This window comes from Homo sapiens, chromosome 9 (assembly GCF_000001405.40).
Source record: "Homo sapiens chromosome 9, GRCh38.p14 Primary Assembly".
In the NCBI taxonomy this organism is placed as follows: Eukaryota; Metazoa; Chordata; class Mammalia; order Primates; family Hominidae; genus Homo; species Homo sapiens.
Genome location: NC_000009.12, coordinates 15,744,869 through 15,766,531, shown reverse-complemented (window position 1 = coordinate 15,766,531; position 21,663 = coordinate 15,744,869). Strand labels below are relative to the sequence as shown.

The 21,663-nt window shown below is 37.9% G+C and overlaps 1 protein-coding gene across 35 annotated transcripts in view; it reads right to left on the bottom strand.

Moving 5' to 3' along the window:
• CCDC171 (coiled-coil domain containing 171) overlaps window positions 1-21,663 on the bottom strand; it is a 556,042-nt gene that overhangs the window by 342,395 nt on the left and 191,984 nt on the right. For all 35 annotated transcript variants that reach the window (XR_007061261.1, XR_001746227.3, XR_001746228.3 and 32 more), the window contains one exon: window positions 20,901-21,017. Coding sequence is in view for 30 of the 35 variants with exons in the window: in XM_047422930.1 (XP_047278886.1) it covers window positions 20,901-21,017 (117 nt within the window). In the remaining 5 variants the exon portion in view is untranslated. The remainder of the gene's footprint in view (window positions 1-20,900; window positions 21,018-21,663) is intronic.

Below are 21,663 nucleotides of genomic sequence, written 5' to 3'. Positions count from 1 at the left end.
TTCTCCAATATCTCATATTTCCATTGCCCTTCTGCTACTTAATTTATTGCAATATGGAACTTACTATCCTATCATAATTTTCTAAAATAAAAATATATATACATATATATAAATTAAAATTGAAGCCAAGCATGGTGGTATACATCTATAATCCCAGCTACACAGGAGGCTGAGGCAGGAGGATCCCTTGAGCCCAGGAGTTCGAGGTCACCTTATTTTCAAGCTAACAAATTTCATGAATGTTGGCAAAAAACACAAGACTCCTGGGTGAGAGACAAGGGACTTTAACACTCACGGCACAGGAGACAGCAGGAGCTTCATATGCACTACAGTTCCTCTTGCTCCCCAAGTCCCATGGAGGTGACACAGAGTGACCTAGGCTAATGCTGTGCATGTAATGGGTTTGTGTCATAGCTGAGGAATCCAGAACTTAGGAAGCCCAAATCTTTTATAATAGGCTGAAAACAAACCTGCTCAATCTTTTCCCCAAGGGAAACATTATTTTCATTATACTGGAAAGTAAACAAACGTGTCCTCCGCTCTGGAGGGAGGTACTGTCTTTATTTTCCGAGGCTGTTCGTTACATAAACTTCCCTGAAAAAATAGCTAATAAATAAATAAATAAGAAAGCCGTCAGTGCCTCTGCTCACAAAATATGCAAAAACACAAGACCTATGGAGAATTTTCTCCCAACAATTATAACTATACTCTTGCATATACTTTCAAGTTCCTTGCTGCTCTTTCTTTCCATTGTATTTACCTGGCAAACCCCCACCCTGATTAAATAAAAACCTCCTATGGCCTGACACCCAAGCAGCTGATCATCTGATGAACTTAATCTCCCACTCACCTGAATGACTATTTCTCATTTTCTCCGCTTCTCAAATAACCAATATCTTCTCACCTTCCTCCATCTCAATTGATAGTCTTGCTTATTTCACTAAATAGTAGCAAGCAGAAAATAATTTTTACATACATCTACTACCAAATCTACCAACCTACCTGCAACTGTACCCATATACTCTGCCTTCCCTCCTGTTACAATGCCTGAACTGTTTGTGCCAACCTTCCTCCCCACTTCTGTGCATTGGATCCCATCCCTTTCATCAACTCAGAGACTTGACATCTGCCAATTGTGCCTTCCCTCATTATCAAGATTTTTTTTTCTTTCATTCGTTGAATCATTCCCCTTACCACACAAACACATTGAATTACCCCTCATCTTAAAACAAAAACCTCCCTTGACCCCTAAATATTGCTCCTGCTCCAACTCAATGTACCTGCTTGCCTTTCATAAAAACTGTCTTTAACAGAACTCACTTTCTCTTTAACAGACTGCAGTCGGACTTTGTCTCAACTACTCCATCAAAACAGTCCCTTCAAGGTCATCAGTTATCTCTATCTTGCCAAATTTGGAGTGATTCTTCAATTCTCATCATATTCACCTTAGCAGCAGCATTCCACATGATTAATTACACTCCTACTTGTAAAACACTTTATTTGGCTTAAAGGTTACCATCAGGGTTCACCAACTAGCTCAATGGCTATTCTTCAGAATCCTTTGCTATATCCTTCTCATTTCCTAACCTCTAAATGTTGAAAGGTCCACAAATCCTCAGAGCTCTTCTAGCTATACTCACTCCCCAAAGCAGTTATGTCCCACCCCAGCCAAAATCTGGGTGGAATGCAGGCTTCACTATTTTTAAAAAGCTCCACAGGTAATTCTAATGTACAACCAGGGTTAAAATCACTACCCTACATGACTTCATCCAATAGCATGACTTTAAATAACACTTATACTGAGAGCACTTACAATTTTATCTGTCTTGACATTTTTCTCAAATTCAGATATCCAGCCACCTCCTTGACACTTACGAGTCTAATATATTTCTCAGACATAACATGTCAAAAAAACTCTTGATTTTCTCTTCCTACTTGTTCCTTCTCTAATCTCCCCATTTCAGTAACTCTTGCTTCAATTTACCATTTACACAAGACAAAAGCCTTGAAGCCATTCTTGATTCCTATCTTTCTTTCACACCTCACATTCAACATACATCAGCAAACCCTATCAGCTCTATCTTCAAAATATTTCCAGACTCTAGCCAATAACCAAGTCCAATGATGTTATACTATTCCAAGCTACCATTGTTCCTCATCTTAGAACACTGCACCCTTACTACCTACACCTTTAACTACTGATAGAAGTCAGAGATAATCTTTTAAAACGTTAAATCACATCTTGTCATTCTTCCACTCAAAACTTTCCGATGGTATCCCATCTTATCCTGAATAAAATCTAAAGTTCTTACCATAGTTTACAAGGATTTGCATAATGTGGGTGCAGGTGTTAACCCTGCCCTTGCTATCTCTCTGACATCATCTTCCACCTTTCTCCCACTATTGACTCTGGTTCAGCCACTTGGGCCTCCTTGCCATTCCTAAAAATATCAAGCACACTCCTTTGTTAGGGTTTCTGCACTTCAGTTTCCTCTGCTTAGAATGTCCTTTCCCCAACTACCACCGCTTCCCCTCAGATATTTGCATGGCTCATTTTTTCAAGCAAAACACAGGCTTACAACCCAAGAATTCCAAGCCTTTGAGTACCTACTCGAAGGAAATAAAAACATACATCCAACAAAAGACATGTATATGAATATTCACATCAGATTTATTCATAATACTCTAAAGTAGAAACAACTCTAATGCCCATCAATAAGTTAATGAATGAACAAACTTTGGTATAATCATAGAATGAAATATTACTCAGCAATGAAAAAGAACAAACTACAGTCACAGGTAATACAGGTGAATCTCAAAAACATTATGCTGAGCAGATGAATCCAGATATATAAGAATATATATTGTATGGGTAGTAAGAAATTTGGCCTCACCTAAGGAGAAGTCTGGCCATTTTCCCAGCTCCTGGGAGATAACCTCTAAAACCTTGGCATTTCTGGAGTGATTAGAGTGTTTTTTGTATTCGTGGTGGCCCCAGACCACACCTGATAGTTTGTAATGATATGACTCATGTTGAGCATCTGATAGTTTATGCTAACTCTGGATAAGGGCTGGCCATGCCTGAAACACCAACCATATGATTAGCAAGTTGGGGCTTTGAATCATATGATATCACCCCAATGTTCAAGAAGAGGAAAAGAACTAGATATTGAGGTCAACAATGTGGAGCATGATCCATTCAATCATGCTTATATAATGAAGCTTCAATTAAGAACTCTGGACATCAAAACTCCAGTGAGCTTCCTGGGTTGGTCATACTCCATGCATATTATCATACCTCAATATTGGGAAGGTAACACATCCTGAGGACAACAGAAGCTTCGCATTTGGAGCCATCCCAGACTTCACCCTATGTGTCTCTTCCTTTGGCTGATTCTAATTTGTTTCCTTCTGTTATAATAAAACTGTAATCCTAAATATAACAGTTTCCTGAGTTCTATGAGTTGTTCTAGAAAACTGTCCAACCTGAAGGAATCCATGTGGACCACGAATTTGTAGCCAGCTAGCCTGAAGTGAGGGTGGCCCTGGGGACCCCTGAATTTGTGGTGTCAGAAGTGAGGACAGCCTTTGGGAACTGTTCCCTCCACCTGTGCAGTTCAGCTACACTCCTTTGCACTGTATGACTCCATTTTTATAAAATTTATGAAATTCTTGAACAGAAAAAACTAAAGGGACAGAGAAGACACCAGTGGTTGCCTTAGACCAGGTAGGAGCAGGGGTGACTGACTCCAAAACAGGTGAAAAGAATGTGCTATACATTTTCTTGTATACATTCTAGTGTATACATTTTTCACAACTAGTCAAATTTTATAGTCAAATAAGCACATTTTATTGCATGTAAATTGTATCACAATACATTTGGCTTAAAAGAAAAAGTCCTATGTCTGATATTACTGAGAATGTTGTTCATTCTATCACTTGATATCCCTTTTTATTAAGAGCTGCAGAACAGTTTCCTATCTACTCTTAGCCTAAGGAACATTTGTATTTTTTCCTAAATTGTGATTTTTCTTTAATAACATAATTGGCAACTGAATCCTCAGACCAAAATGTGAACACAAGTGTGTAGGCTACCATAGTTGACTTTTTCAATGTCATTCCTGGCTTGAATTTGCTCCTTTTCCTGCTTAGGTTTTAATGAATATTATGTTGTATTTTGCAAATACCTATAAGCTGCCATATTTTTTCTGGAAAAGGAGGTAAAAATTTTTTCTAAATATATCTGTAATATTTTAGTACAGATTTGAAGGAAGATTTTTTTTGTTCTTTTACAAAAACCTGAAAAGATAACTATGTTGCTTTGTTAGACAGTATCTGGATATCCAACTTAGCTTTCTTAAAAAAAAAAAAAAAAAGCTTCAGGCTCTTAGAAGTTGCCCAGAAATTACCCATAAACTACAAAATGTGTTCAAGCCTCATCTATGCTTCCTAAAATTATTTTGATTTTGTATATTATTTTAGATCTGCATTATAAAATATATTCTATAAAAGACATGAAAGTAAGATTTTGCATAGTTGTGAACACTTTCAAGGATGAATTATCCATTTGAAAATTGCTCTTAAAAATTGATAGGCAAATAAAATTTCAATTTAAAATACAAAATATCTGTTCACTGTAAAACTCTTTTGACTTTTCTACATGCTTATACTTTTTCATAAAATGTTTGAAAAAATATGGCAAAATGTGAAAGTGATAATATAAGAAATCACAAAATTTGTAAAAATCTGTAAGTTAAATTGTGGCTCCCCAAAATAGAGACTAGCAGCTGAAGCACCAGAAACGATACTCAGTCAGATTGTGCTTGTTTCCGTTCCAGATATGAGTGAAGTTATATAAATAACAAAATCCCATACACAAAAAATTTTTTTTAAATAACAAAATAAAAATAACAAAATAATAAAATCCCCTAAGTCTCTTCTCAAACTTTACTGTGCATATTAGTCACCTGAGGATCTTGTTAAAATGCACATTAGGTCTGGAGTGGAGTCTGAGATTATGCATTTGTATCACATTCCCAGTTGATGACAATGCCCTTGGTCCATGGACCACACTTGGAGTAGCAAGATTCTTTTTATAATTTTTTTAAGATTCAATAAAGCCTCAGCACTTTTAAATATATGCCAATAGCTGCTTATCAATACCAGTATCTTTTCTTACCACTTTGAACTTCCTTAGTATGAAACCTCAATGTTGAGTTGAACACAACCTAGGCTTAGTTTGCTTGAAAGGGTCGCTATGACCTCTAGAAAGTTAACTCAAAGTACGCAATAAAAAAAAGTTCTGAGTTGTACTAGCAGGGGTATATTTGGGTCATCTATCTTCTAGACAATTAAGACGTAATTACACAGGAAATGTGTGACAAAATGTGTTAACATTCTACTTATGTCCATCTACTCCTGTGTTTGTTCAGAGATATTTCAAAGCAAATCAGCACATTTGTTTCTATCTTGAGAATTTTAGTCTCGACCAGTCATATCAAAAAGTTCAGCTATCTAAAGAATTCTTTAGTCCATTCCCATCATGATTGATATCCTAACCCTTCAGTGGAAGTAACATTCTCCCCTGTTTGAGGTAAATGATCTCTTGCAGGCACACCATTTGGATACCGAGAAGAGGTAATTTATCTCAAGTGGGCAAACACTATAATGAAAGCAAGAAGGTTGCCACCTGTCCAGTATTTACAGAGGCAACATGAAAACTGGGGTCTTTGCCCACTCTCTATAAGTTCATCATCAAAGTTTAGGAAGGTAGCTGGGGCAGCCACCTTTAGCACTTTCTACGCATTGAATTCAAGCTATTGTTATTGAACCTCCTGTTTCATGAAAAGGTAAAAAGTAATATGCAGGTCCCATTAAGACATCAGTGCACAAGAAAGAAATAAAACAATGAATATTTACAGGACATTTACAAACACTAGGCAGGTTACATTTCTTCTTAATGTAAAGAAAAGCTAGGAAATTTTATTAGCCAAATTTTACAGATTAGGATACTGAGGCTGAAATGAGATTAAGTAATTTGCCCAATAACACACAAATAGTAAGCAACGGTACCCAGATTCAAATCTAGAGTCCAAGTTCTTAACCAATACTTTAATGTATATCCAACACGTTTTACAGTAAATTTTCTTTCCTAATTAATAGTATGCATATAATTCAGAACTTACTCTAAATAGATAAAAACCTACTCTTTAAAAAGACTGAATGTTTTTTACCTTAGAACAAAGATAATATGAAAAGCCATACAGTTATTATTAAAAGCTTAGTACTGGCATACATGCACCACAGTTTTCCTGGGGCTAAGAAGAAAAGGGGTCAGTGATGCTATTAATTTGTAATCCCAATATTTAAAATGGCTTAAATTTTTAGCAAGTTCTCAAAAACAAAAAACAAGAAGTACAAAAAGATAAAAACATACTTCTGCCTCATAACAAACATCTTCTTTCACTTCAGAATTTTCAGAATACTTACTAAATAGATTTCCCCAAGATTCTGTCATTTCTATTTCCTACTTGGCTAAAATAATTAAGATACTGCTCATAATTTAACATGATTCAAAGGACAATGAGTCAATTACAAATCAAAGCTAAACTGATATTCCTGCTACCTGTCCTATGATGAAAATATCCTACTATGAATCAGTTAAATTATGGAATATACAAATAATTAAATATTACTCAGAAATTAAAAATCATTCTCTAAAAGAATATTAATAGAAATGGAAAAACCCTCAAAAAGTAAAGCTTTTTTAAAAATGAAGTTATGACACTGTATCATAAGCAAAGTACAGTGTCACTTCTGTGAGTTTTCTTGCAAAAGATGCACAAGCTGAATCTAATCATGAGGAAACATCAGACAAATCAAAACTAAGGGATATTCTACAAATAACTAGCCTGCAATCTTCAAGAAGGCCAAGATCATGGGCAAGAAAAGACTGAGGAACTCTTCCATACTGGAGACTAAAAAAACATGACTAAATGCAACACATAATTCTAAACTAGATCCTTCTGCTATATAAAGAACATAGTCGGGACAACTAGGGAAAGTTTAATGGGATCTGAATGACAGTAATGTATCCATGTTGATTTCCTGATGTTGACAGTTGCATTCTGGTTATACAGGAGAATAACCAGAATGCAACTGTGAAATACACACTAAAATATGCAGTCTTTGAAATGCATACTAAAACAAGAGGGAGTGACACAGCATCATACTATCAACCTGCTCTCAAACTGTTCAGCAAAAAGAAAAGTTCTTTGTTATGTACTTGCCACTTTTCTGTAAGTTTTATATCACATTTTAAATGAAGATATAAACCTATGTACTCTATGATATTATCAATATCACTTGTTAGTCTATTAGTGGATGGATAGGAGGAAAGGAGGAAGGCTGGAGAGAGGGAGGGAGGGAGACGAAATACATTGGAAGAACATATTCAAATGTTAACAGTAACTATTCCTAATACACAGCAATGAAAAAGAATGAAATCATATCCTTTGCAGCGACATGGATGCAGCTGGAGGCCACTGTATTAGTCTGTTTTCACACTGCTGATAAAGACATACCCGAGACTGGGCAATTTACAAAAGAAAGAGGTTTATTGCACTTATAGTTCCACATGGCTGGGGAAGCCTCACAATCATGGTGGAAGATGAAAGGCGTATCTCACATGGCAGTGGCAAGAGAGAAAATGAGACTCAAGCAAAACAGGCTTCCCCTTATCAAACTATCAAACCTTGTGAGACTTATTCACTACCACGAGAACAGTAAGAGGGAAACTAACCCCATGATTCAATTATCTCCCACTGGGTCCCTCCCACAACACATGGGAAATATGGGAGTACAATTCAGAGATTTGGGTGGGGACACAGCCAATCCATATCATTCCACCCTGACTCCCTCCCACATCTCATGTCCTCACATTTCAAAATCAATCATGCCTTCCCAACCATCCCCCAAAGTCTTAACTCATTTCGGCATTAACTCAAAAGTCCACAGTCCAAAGTCTCATCTGAGACAAGGCAAGTCCCTTCCACCTATGAGCCTGTAAAATCAAAAGCAAGTTAGTTACTTCCTAGATACAGTGGAGGTACAGGCATTGGGTAAATACAGCCATTCCAAATGGGAGGAATTGGCCAAAACAAAGGGGCTACAGGCCCCACGCAAGTCCAAAATCCAGCAGGGCAGTGAAACGTTAAAGCTCCAAAATGATCTCCTTTGACTCCAGGTCTCATATCCAGGTCATGCTGATGCAAGAAGTGGGTTCCCATGGTCTTGGGCAGCTCCACCCCTGTGTCTTTGCAAGGTACAGCCTTCCTCCAGCTGTTTTCAAGGGCTGGCATTGAGTGTCTGTGGCTTTTCCAAGTGAACAGTGCGAGCTGTCAGTGGATCTACCATTCTGGGGTCTGGAGGATGGTGGCCCTCTTCTCACAGCTCCACTAGGCAGATGCCCCAGTAGGGACTCTGTGTGGGGGCTCCTACCCCACATTTCCCTTCCACACCACCCTAGCAGAGGTTCTCTATAAGAGCCCCACCCCTGTAGCAAACTTCTGCCTGGGCATCCTGGCATTTCCATACATCTTCTGAAATCTAGGCAGAGGTTCCCAAACCCTAATTCTTGACTTCTGTTCACTCGTAGGCTCAACACCATGTGGAAGTTGCCAAGGCTTGGGGCTTGCACCTCTGAAGCCATGGACCAAGCTCTACGTTGGCCCCTTTCAGCCCCACAGCTGGAGCAGCTGGGACGCAGGGCATCAAGCCCCTAGGCTGACCACAGCACGGGGGACCCTGGGACTGGACAATGAAACCATTTTCTCCTAAGACTCTGGGCCTGTGATGGGAAGGGCTTCCGTGAAGACCTCTGACGTGACCTGGAGACATTTCCCCATTGTCTTGGAGATTCAGCTAATTGTTACTTAAGCAAATTTCCGCAGCCCACTTGAATTTCTCCTCAGAAAATTGGTTTTTCTGTCTACCACATTGTCAGGCTGCACATTCTCTGAACTTTTATGCTCTGCTTCTCTTATAAAACTAAATGCCTTTAACAGTACCCAAGTCACCTCTTTTGCTGCTTAGAAATTTCTTCCACCAGATACCTTAAATCATCTCCCTCAAGTTCAAAGTTCCACAAATCTCTAGGGCAGGGGCAAAACACCGCCAGTCTATTTGCTAAAACATAACAAGAGTCACCTCTGCTCCAATACCCTACAAGTTCCTCATCTCCATCTGAGACCACCTCAGCCTGGACCTTATTGTCCATATATCTATCAGACTTTTGGGCAAAGCCATTCAGTAAGTCTCTAAGAAGTTCCAAATTTTCCCACATTTTCGTGTCTTCTTCTGAGCCCTCCAAACTGTTTCAACCTCTGCCTGTTACCCAGTTCCAAAGTCGCTTAAACATTTTCAGGTATCTTTCCACATTTTCAGGTATCTTTTCAGCAACGCCCCACTCTACTGGTACCAATTTACTGTATTAGTTAGTCCATTTTCACACTGCTGATAAAGACATACCCGAGACTGAGCAATTTACAAAAGAAAGAGGTTTATTGGATTTATAGTTCCACATGGCTGAGGAGGCCTCACAATTACAGTGGAAGGTGAAAGGCACATCTCACATGGTGGCAGAAAGAAAGAGAAGGAGAATGAAGCAGAATGTGTTTCCCCTTATCAAACCATCAGATCTTGTTAAGACCTATTCACTGCCATGAGAACAGTATGTGGGAAACCACCCCCATGATTAAATTATCTCCCACCAGGTCTCTCCCACAACATGCCGGAATTATGGGAGTACAGTTCAGGATGAGATTTGGGTGGGGACATAGAGCCAAACCATTATTAGCCATTATCCTAAGCAAATTAACACAGGAACAGAAAAGCAAATACCGCATGTTTTTACTTATAAGTGGGAGCTAAGCATTGGGTATACATGGACAAAAAGATGGGAACAGACACTGGGGACTACTAGAGTAGGGAGTGAAAGAGGTGGGTAAGGGCTGAAAAACTGCCTACTGGGTACTATGCTCACTACCTGGGTGACAGAATCATTCGTACCCCAAACCTCAGCATCACACAATATACCCACATAACAAATTTGCACATGTATTCCCTGATCTAAAATAAAAGTTGAAATTATTAAAAAAGAAAAAATAACAGTAACCATTCTTGTGTGAGCTGATAGAAAAATATTTTTTGTTTCTGTTATTTTTATTCTTTTCTAATTCATTTTTTTCAAGTTTTCTGAATTGACCAGTTTTCCTTTGTAATGGTAGGGTGGGGCAGTAGATGTGGAGGTAATAAATGATATTTGCTTTTTAGAAAGTAAATCCTCTCTATGTTGAGTTTGTTGATTAGTGGATCCATCTACAAAATATCCCTTCTCTGTTGCCACCTTCTAGCTAGCCAGCCAGGAATAACCATGTGATTCAGGTTCAAGTCAATGAAACAAGAAGAGAAAACTGCTGGGTAAGCTTATGGGAAAGCTTTTGCCTTCCTGACATAAAGGAATATATTCAGCAGCCACATCTCTTCACATCTGTAACAGCTTTCTAGAGATATAATTAAACATCATACAGTTTGCCCATTTAAAGTATACAAATCAATGTTTTGTAGTATACTCACAGAGTTGTGCAACTATAACCACAACCAATTTTAAAACATTTTTATCAACCCCAAAAGAAACTCTATATCCATTAGCAGTCACTTCCCATACTCCCTTAACCCTCACTCCAGCCTTGGGCAATCACTAATCTACTTTCTATCTCTAGATGTGTCTACTCTGGACATTTCAAATAAATGGAATCATGCAATATGTGATCTTTTGTCACCATCCTCTTTCACTACATAATGTCTTCAGGGATCATTCACATTATAGCATGTAGCAGTACTTTATTCCTTTTTATGAACTAATAATATTTCATCATTTAGATATCTATCCATTAATCAGTTGATAGACATCTGGGTTTTCTTTTCACTTTTTGACTCACGCGTACTGATGCTATGAACATTTGCAAATGTATCCAATTCACAAACACTTGAATTGGTTTGTGTTTGTATGAATGTATGTTTTCCTTTCTCTTTCTCTTGGATACATTCCTAGGAGTGAATTGCTAGCTCATATGATAACTCTATGCTTAACTTTTTAATGAACTTCCAGACTCTTTTCCAAAGCATCTGTATCCTTTTCATTCCTACCAACAATGTACGAATGCCTTCACATTTTGCCCTTCCCTTTTCCTTCTTGCAAAAACACAATCCTAATGCCTGAAAGTAGAGTAGCCAGCTTAAAACTAAGAGGCACAAACATGAACACGTTAAGGACAGCAGAGAAGAAAGAACCAGTCTAGATTTCTACTTACCTCTAGACTTCCTATTATCTGGGAGGAAAAATTCCTATTTGATTAAGGTATTTTAAGTAGGGTCATCCAATAATTACAAAGAAGGCAAACCTCTTTCAAACATACAATGTCATCCTATTCAGAGAATAAACTTCTCCTTGATCTTTATATACTAATTTATAACAGAACCATCTTTTTAAAATTTATAGCTACATATAACATTTAAATTACCTTGAAATTCTAAGATCAACCAATGTATTTTCATTTGACCTTATTTTTTACAAAATCTATTTATTATTCTGTTAATGCAATAAATATTAATAATGACCAATATATGAACTAAGCAAAGCAAGCAAACCAGTAATCAAAGACTCTTCTAAGCACTTTAAAAATGTATTCATTTAGTCTTCTAAATAACTCTATGAGATAGGTAAAACTACTTTCCCCATTTTATATATAAACAAATTGATGCACACAGGATTTAAATAACTTGCCCAAGGTCACACAGCTAGTGTCAGAACCAGTATTCAAAGTCAGGCAGAATTCCTGCTTAACCCTAAAGTATTGCCTCCCCTGTAGAGCAGCTTAGCAATTTTAGGATAGAAGATTAATAATTAGTAGCCTGAAAATGTATAAAGGGGTGTGTGTGTGTATGCGCATGTGTGCTCATTTATGTTATACTCTACATTCACAGTGAGATGAGTAATAAGGTGACAACTATTTTTTTACCACCCACCAACTGCCAGGTATTATACACAATGCTCAAAAAGTATTATCTCACTAAATCCTTGGAACATCCAGGAGGAAGATAATATCTTCATTTATAGGCAAAGAATCTGAGACCCAGTAAAGTTAAATAACGTGCCCAGTTTCACACAACTGATAACTAGATAACTGATAACTACATTTGGATACAAAATCAAATCCGCTTTGTTTAAAGCTAATGCTCTCTCTACCATACAATAATGTTTACCTGTTTAGGTTATTCATATGCTAAATTGGAAACTCCACATGACTATATAAGCTCTTATGGTTTTATATTTATTACTGTCATTATTCTCTCTTCATAACTACTCATACGCTTTAACTTTCTGAAAATATGTTCCCATCCTTTCTGTCAAAATACCTGAAATTTCTACTACAAAAATATAACTTAAAATGAAAACACATGACCCTGGAAAAATATTATATAAACAAACCCCTCATCATGTTTGAAGAAATTATTCTAAAAGCTCAGATGGTCAAGTTATATCCAGAGAGGGTCCACACTGATAATTTTGTGTCAGTCCAATAATATTCCTTTATCTACCTGTATGGACCATATTCCTTCCAATATTCCTCATGACTGTGATACATCAATAATTCTCTTGCTTTAATTAACAATCACTTACTCTTCTCAAAGTCGTGTTTCTTAGCGAACAAACACTTAAAACTTACCCTAAAAAAAAGTTTTCCTGAACCTGCTATTTCCTCTAGCTGTAAGAGGCACAGCCAGATCTAATATCAAAGGCACCTCTGCTCCTAGACTTAGGCAAGCATGTAAAGACACCACCTTCTACTTGATAAATCTTACCTATGCATATCTTTATCAGGGTCTTAATTATTGTGTCAATATTTTAACATTGAAAGTGTTGTAAGGGGCCACTTTTGTAATGTGCTCAGAGGAAATTACTGCCTAGTTTTATAAAACCTCTGTAATTTGACCCCATGCCAATGATACATCTCTCTTCCGATATGAATAATGGAAAATATCCTTTATTAATCACTATCTATAGGCCAGGTCTGCTAGGCACGGATTTTCAATCTCATCCTTTTAATGTCTGTTCCTTCCATTCTATGTTTATTCCCACAACTGCATCTCTGCTTAACCATGCCCTTCATCTGAATGCCATCTCTCCTCTCTAACTTGCCATCATTCTAAGTCTAGCTAAATCACAAGCTCCTCCCTGAAGTCTTCCCTATACTCATAAGCCCACAATGAGCAGCACCTTCTGTAGATTCTTGTAGCATTAAAAGCCTGTATCTCTTCATCTCACCCTTAATTACATTCTGCTTGAAGTCGCTCATGAGTTGTCATTATTGTTCTCTAACAACTGTGCGTATTAGCGTCAGACCAATTCACACATTTTTATTTTATCTCCTAGAATATATACATAACACAGTGACAAGAAAAAATACATTAAATAAATTAATAACATAAACAAGAAGATAGCTTAAGAAACCAATCTACTTTTAAGCGTCATACTTACAAAGAATATTAGTAACATAAATCACCTTTTTCTTTTTTTATATATGTACTTTAAGTTCTGGGGTACATGTACACAATGTGCAGGTTTGTTATATAGGTATATATGAGCCATGTTGGTTTGCTGCACCCATCAATTCATCATTTACATTAGGTATTTCTCCTAATGCTATCCCTCTCCCAGCCCACACCCCCGACAAGCCCTGGTGTGTGATGTTCTCCTCCCTGTGTCCGTGTGTTCTCACTGTTCAACTCCCACTTATGAGTGAGAACATGCGCTGTTTGGTTTTCTGTCCTTGTGATAGTTTGCTGAGAATGATGGTTTCCACCTTCATCCATGACCCTGCAAAGGACATGAACTCATCCTTTTTGTGGCTGCATAGTATTCCATGGTGTACATATGCCACATTTTCTTTATCCAGTCTATTATTGATGGACATTAGGTCGGTTCCAAGTCTTTGCTATGGTGCCGCAATAAACATATGTGTGCATGTGTCTTTATAGTAGCATGATTTACAATCCTTTCAGTATATACCAGTAAGTGGAATTGCTTGGGTCAAATGGTATTTCTAGTTCTAGATCCTTGAGGAATTGCCAAACTGTCTTCTACAATGGTTGAATTTACACTCCCACCAACAGTGTAACAGCGTACCTATTTCTCCACATCCTCTCCAGCATCTGTTGTTTCCTGACTTTTTCATGATCGCCATTCTAACTGGTGTGCGATGGTAACTCGTTGTGGTTTTGATTCGCATTTCTCTGATGACCAGTGATGATGAGCATTTTTTCATGTTTGTTGGTTGTATAAATGTCCTCTTTTGAGAAGTGTCTGTTCATATCCTTTGCCCACTTTTTGATGGGGTTGTTTTTTTCTTGTAAATTTGTTTAAGTTCTTTGTAGATTCTGGATATTAGCCCTTTGTCAGATGGATAAATTGCAAAAATTTTCTCCCATTCGGTAGGTTGCCTGTTCACTCTCATGATAGTTTCTTCTGCTGTGCAGAAGCTCCTCAGTTTAATTAGATTCCATTTGTCTATTTTAGCTTTTGTTGCCATTGCTTTTGGTGTTATAGTCATGAAGTCTTTGCCCATGCCAATGTCCTGAATGGTACTGCCCAGGTTTTCTTCTAGCGTTTTTATGGTTTTAGGTCTTACATTTAAGTCTTTAGTCCATCTTGAGTTAATTTTTGTATAAGGCGTAAGGAAGGGATCCAGTTTCAGCTTTCTACATATGACTAGCCAGTTTTCCCAGCACACTTATTAAATAGGGAATGCTTTCCCCATTGCTTGTTTTTGTCAGGCTTGTCAAAGACCAGATGGTTGTAGATGTGTGGTGTTATTTCTGAGGCCTCTGTTCTGTTGCATTGGTCTATATATCTGTTTTGGTACCAGTACCATGCTGTTTTGATTACTGTTTTGAAGTCAGGCAGCCTGACACCTCCAGCTTTGCTCTTTTTGCTTAGGATTGTCTTGGCTATGCGGGCTCTTCTTGGTTCCGTATGAAATTTAAAGTAGTTTTTTCCAATTCTGTGAAGAAAGTCAGCGGCAGCTTGATGAGGATAGCACTGAATCTATAAATTATTTTGGGCAGTATGGCCATTTTCACGATATTGATTCTTCCTATCCATGAGCATGGAATGTTCTGCCATTTGTGACCTCTTTTATTTCGTTGAGCAGTGGTTTGTAGTTCTCCTTGAAGAGGTCCTTCACATCCCTTGTAAGTTGGATTCCTAGGTATTTTATTCTCTTTGTAGCAACTGGAAGTGCATGGGAGATCACTCATGATTTGGCTCTCTGTTGGACTGTTACTGGTGTATAGGAATGCCTGTGATTTTTGCACATTGATTTTGTATCCTGAGACTTTGCTGAAGTTGCTTATCAGCTTAAGGAGATTTTGGGCTGAGACGATGGGGTTTTCTAAATATACAATCATCTCACCTGCCAACAGAGACCATTTGATTTCCTCTTTTCCTAACTGAATACCCTTTCTTTCTCTTGCCTGATTGTCCTGGCCAGAACTTCCAATACTGTGTTGAATAGGAGTGGTGAGAGAGAGCATCCTTGTCTTGTGCCGTTTTTCAAAGGGAATGCTTCCAGCTTTTGCCCATTCAGTATGATATTGGCTGTGGGTTTGTCATAAACAGCTCTTATTATTATGAGATACGTTCCATCAATACCTAGTTTATTGAGAGTTTTTAGCATGAAGGGCTGTTGAATTTTGTCGAAGGCCTTTTCTGCATCCATTGAGATAATCATGTGGTTTTTGTGGTTGGTTCTGTTTCTGTGATGGATTATGTTTATTAATTTGCACATGTTGAACCAGCCTTGCATTTTTGATGTGCTGCTGGATTCGGTTTGCCAGTATTTTATTGAGGATTTTTGCATCAATGTTCACCAGGGATATTAGCCTAAAATTCTCTTTTTTTGTTGCATTTCTGCCAGGCTTTGGTATCAGGATGATGCTGGCCTCATAAAAGGAGTTAGGGAGGATTCTCTTTTTCTATTGATTGGGTAGTTTCAGAAGGAATGGTACCAGCTCCTCTTTGTACCTCTGGTAGAATTCGGCTGTGAATACATCTGGTCCTGGGCTTTTTTTGGTGAGTAGGCTATTAATTATTGCCTCAATTTCAGAACCTGTTATTGGTCTATTCAGAGATTCGACTTCTTCCTGGTTTAGTCTTGGGAGGGTGTATGTGTCCAGGAATTTATACATTTCTTCTAGATTTTCTAGTTTATTTATGTAGAGGTCTTTATAGCATTCTCTGATGGTAGTCTGTATTTGTATGGGATCAGTGGTGATATCCCCTTTGTCATTTTTTATTGCATCTATTTGATTCTTCTCTCTTTCTTATTAGTCTTGCTAGCAGTCTATTTTGTTGATCTTTTAAAAAAAAAAACAGCTCCTGGATTCACTGATTTTTTTTAAAGGGTTTTTTTGTGTCTCTATCTCCTTCAGTTCTGCTCTGATCATAGTCATTTCTTGTCTTCTGCTAGCTTTTGAATCTGTGTGCTCTTGCTTCTCTAGTTCTTTTAATTGTGATGTTAGGGTGTTGATTTTGATCTTTCCTGCTTTCTCTTGTGGGCATTTAGTACTATAAATTCCCCTCTACACACTGCTTTAAATGTGTCCCAGAGATTCTGGTATGTTGTGTCTTTGTTCTCATTGGTTTCAAAGAACATCTTTATTTCTGCCTTCATTTTGTTATTTACCCAGTAGTCATTCAGGAGCAGGTTGTTCAGTTTCCATGTAGTTGAGCGGTTTAGAGTGAGTTTCTTAATCCTGAGTTCTAGTTTGATTGCAGTGTGGTCTGAGAGACAGTTTGTTGTGATTTCTGTTCTTTTACTTTTGCTGAGGAGTGTTTTACTTCGAATTATGTGGTCAATTTTAGAATAAGTGTGATGTGGTGCTGAGAAGAATGTTTATTCCTTTGATTTGGGGTGGAGAGTTCTGTAGATGTCTATTAGGTCCGCTTGGTCCAGAGCTCAGTTCAAGTCCTGGCTATCCCTGTTAATTTTCTGTCTCGTTGATCTGTCTAATGTTGACAGTGGAGTGTTAAAGTCTCCCATTATTATTGTGTGGGAGTCTAAGTCTCTTTGTAGGTCTCTAAGAACTTGCTTTATGAATCTGGGTGCTCCTGTATTGGGTGCATATATATTTAGGATAGTTAGCTCTTCTTGTTGAATTGATCCCTTTACCATTATGTAATGGCCTTCTTTGTCTCTTTCGATCTTTGTTGGTTTAAAGTCTGTTGTATCAGAGACTAGAATAGCAACACCTGCTTTTTTTTTTTTTGCTTTCCATTTGCTTGGTAGATCTTCCTCCATCCCTTTATTTTGAGCCTATGTGCATCTCTGCGTGTGAGATGGGTCTCCTGAATACAGCACACCAATGGGTCTTGACTCTTTATCCAATTTACCAGTCTGAATCTTTCAACTGGAGCCTTTAGCCCATTTACATTTAAGGTTAATATTGTTATATGTGAATTTGATCCTGTCATTATGATGTTAGCTGGTTATTTTGCCCGTTACTTGATGCAGTTTCTTCATAGCATCTTAACAATTTGGCATGTTTTTGCAGTGGCTGGTACCAGTTGTTCCTTTCCATGTTTAGTGCTTCCTTCAGGAGCTCTTGTAAGGCAGGCCTGGTGGTGACAAAATCTCTCAGCATTTGCTTGTCTGTAAAGGATTTTATTTCTCCTTCACTTAAGAAGCATAGTTTGGCTGGATATGAAATTCTGAGTTGAAAATTCTTTTCTTTAAGAATGTTGAATATTGGCCCCCCACTCTCTTCTGGCTGTAGGGTTTCTGCTAAGAGATCCGCTGTTAGTCTGATGGGCTTCCCTTTGTGGGTAACCCGACCTTTCTCTCTGGCTGTCCTTAACATTTTTTCCTTCATTTCAACTTTGGTGAATCTATCGATTATGTGTCTTGGGGTTGCTCATCTCGAGGAATATCTTTGTGGTGTTCTCTGTACTTCCTGAAATTGAATGTTGGCCTGCCTTGCTATGTTTGGGAAGTTCTCCTCGATAATATCCTGAAAAGCGTTTTCTAACTTGGTTCCACTCTCCTCGTCACTTTCAGATACACCAATCAAACACAGATTTGGTCTTTTCACATAATCCCCTATTTCTTGGAGGCTTTGTTCATTTTTTTTACTCCTTTTTCTCTAATCTTGTCTTCTCGTTTTATTTCATTAGTTTGATCTTCAATCACGGATATACTTTCTTCCGCTTGATCAAATCTGCTGCTGAAGCTTGTGTATGCTTCATGAATTTCTCATGCTGTGTTTTTCAGCTGCATCAGAAAATTGAGGCCCAGAGAGGTTAAGTCACTTGCTCAGAGTAATGCATTTGAAGCCTGGCAGCTTCAACATGATGGTCATTTATGTTCTTCTCTACACTGGTTATTCTAGTTAGTCACTCGTCTAACCTTTTTTCAAGGTTTTTAGCTTCCTTGCAGTGGGTTAGAACATGCTCCTTTAGCTCGGAGAAGTTTGTTATTACTCATCTTCTGAAGCCTACTTCTGTCAACTCGTCAAAGTCATTCTCAGTCTAATTTTGTTCCCTTGCTGGTGAGGAGTTGTGATCCTTTAGAGGAGAAGATGTGTTCTGGTTTTTGGAATTTGCAGCCTTTCTGCTCTGGTTTCTCCCCATTTTGTGGTTTTATCTATCTTTGGTCTTTGATGTTGGTGACTTACAGATGAGGTTTTGGTGTGGATGTCCTTTTTGTTGATGTTGATGCTATTCCTTTCTGTCTGTTAGTTTTCCTTCTAACAGGCTCCTCAGCTGCAGATCTGTTGGAGTTTGCTGGACGTCCAGTCCAGACCCTGTGTGCCTAGGTATCACCAGCGGAGGCTGCAAAACAGCAAGTATTGCTGCCTGATCCTTCCTCTGGAAGCTTCGTCCCAGAGGGGCACCTGCCAGATGCCAGCCAGAGCTCTCCTGTAAGAGGTGTCTGTTGGCCCCTACTGGGAGGTGTCTCCCAGTCAGGCTACACGAGGGTCAGGGACCCACTTGAGGATGCAGTCTGCCCGTTATTCGAGCTTGAACACCATGCTGGGAGAACCACTGCTCTCTTCAGAGCTGTCAGGCAGGGGAATGTTTAAGTCTGCAGAAGCTGTGCCCACAGCTGCCCCTTCCCCCAGGGGCTCTGTCCCAGGAAGATGAGGGTTTTATCTATAAGTCCCTGAATGAGGCTGCTGCCTTTTGATCAGATATGCCCCATCCACAGAGCTGGAATCTAGAGAAGCAGTCAGCCTTGCTGAGCTGCGGTAGGCTCCGCCCAGTTTGAGCTTCCCGGCAACTTGGTTTACACTGTGAGCATAAAACCACCTACTCAAGCCTTGGCAATGGCAGACGCCCTCCCCCCGCCAAGCTCCAGCATCCCAGGTCATTCTCAGACTGCTGCACTAGCAGCAAGGATTTCAAGCCAATGGATTTTAGCTTGCTGGGCTCTGTGGGCATGGGACCCGCCGAGCCAGTCACTGGAGAGAATATCCTGCTCTGCCAGTTGTGAAGACTGTGGGAAAAGCTGAGTATTTGAGCAGAAGTGTACCATTCCTCCCAGTACAGTCTCTCACAGCTTCCCTTGGCTAGGAAACGAAAATCCCCTGACCCCTTGTGCTTCCCAGGTGAGGTGACACCCCGCCCTGCTTCAGCTCACCCTCCGTGGGCTGCACCCACTGTCCAACCAGTCTCAGTGAGATGAACAAGGTACCTCAGTTGGAAATGTAGAAATCACCCGTCTTCTGCATCAATCTTGCTGGAGTTGCAGACCGGAGCTGTTCCTATTTGGCCATCTTGGAAGCACTCAAATCGCCTGTTTCTTAAACCAAATCTAAAAACTATTTCTAAGCTCTTTCAAGAATGTTCAGTTTTGCTTTGAAGTTATAATACCAAAATTCTTAAAATACATTTAGTTTAGACTTTTATTTCAGACTTCAAACCCAGTATCTTGAGGTTCTGCCAATACATTAAATATGCGCATTGCTTACCAACATCGATGGCCACAACTTAAAAATAATCTTTAAGTTTCCTACTACAAAAGTCTAGGTTTAGATATTTGAAATCACAATGAATAATCTATATTTGCACAGTGGAATTGTCTAAGAATTAAATCCCAAATTATCATTACATATAGGCTTACATTTCATTAAACAGACAAATCTTAAGTCCATTACACAATTTTAACAATTAATGTGTCTGAAATGACCATAATTAGTCCAATTAGTTTTCATTGAACCTGTCAGACAAAATATCATGCAATCCGAATCATAAAAAAAAACTTGCATTTTAAACTTTTGTAAATTGCTGATAATAGGTGGTTCCACACCAGGTGGAAAGGAGCAGACTATCCAAATTAATTCCATCTAAAATAAACTAGAAAAAGTAAAAAAATATATCACAAAACGAGAGATAAAAATTTTCTACTGGCTCTCATATTACTCAAGCTTATGAAATTTACAGCCAGAAGTAGAAGTGAAATAAGGCCAAAACATATGAAAAAACATTGCCAGTATTACTTAATAAAAAGCTGATGATGAGCTTTCCATAGGAAAAACAGATAGAAAAAAAGAAAAGGTGGATACATTCACCAAGAAATGTCATTTCCCCATAAATAGAGACAAAATTTATATTAATTTACATCATTAAGTACAGAGTTAACAATCTCTCTATGACTGAATAAAATAAAGATAAAAACAAATATATTTCCCCCTATATGTTTTATTAGAATTTGTGACATAAAGAATTTCTGGATATTTGTTCTTAAATGTATTTTGCAAGGACATAAAAGAAGGAACCATACCTGCTTTACCAATGACGTCTTGTAATTCAGCCATAGAACTGATTATTGCAGCAAGAAGGTCAGAACTGGTGAGCCAACTGAGCGCTTGTAAACAACGCAACTGCTCCTTTTGATGTTCTATAAAATTGAAAAAATCCATTGTAAAATTCTACAAAACTTTATTAAAATCTATATTTAAAATTCGTAGCAGTGTTCAGCTATTTAAGAAACAGATAAAACCCTATTGTGAACATTGCCTAATGTGGAAAAATCTATTAAATGTTAGATTAGCTTGACCTAATTTACAAATAACTGTAAATGACACCAAATAAACAGAAAAAAACAAATTTTCTTTAGTTTTACTTATATTACTTAATAGTCTGCTTTTTAAAAATTAAAACAAATTGTTTCTTCAAAATAGTTATGCATTCAAAACACAACTGGAAAATTTACATTTGTCTCATTTTCACACAATTCTTCAATATATTTTTAACCCATTTCATACTTATTCATAGAAACTGAAAATAAATTATACTGGTAATTTGAAACAGGGCAGTTTTTGATTGACATAACTGAAAAATCACTGTATAAACTCTCCACTTTACTGCAGAGGATTCAAATCTAAAACAAGACAAAGTTGAAATTATATATATTTGCCACCTAATATTTTAACCTGTTTAAAACAAAAAATCACAGCCTAATTTATACAAAAATATTCACTTATCCATACACACATATACGTACATATGGAGACTATGTTATATTATTTGGCATATTACATGAT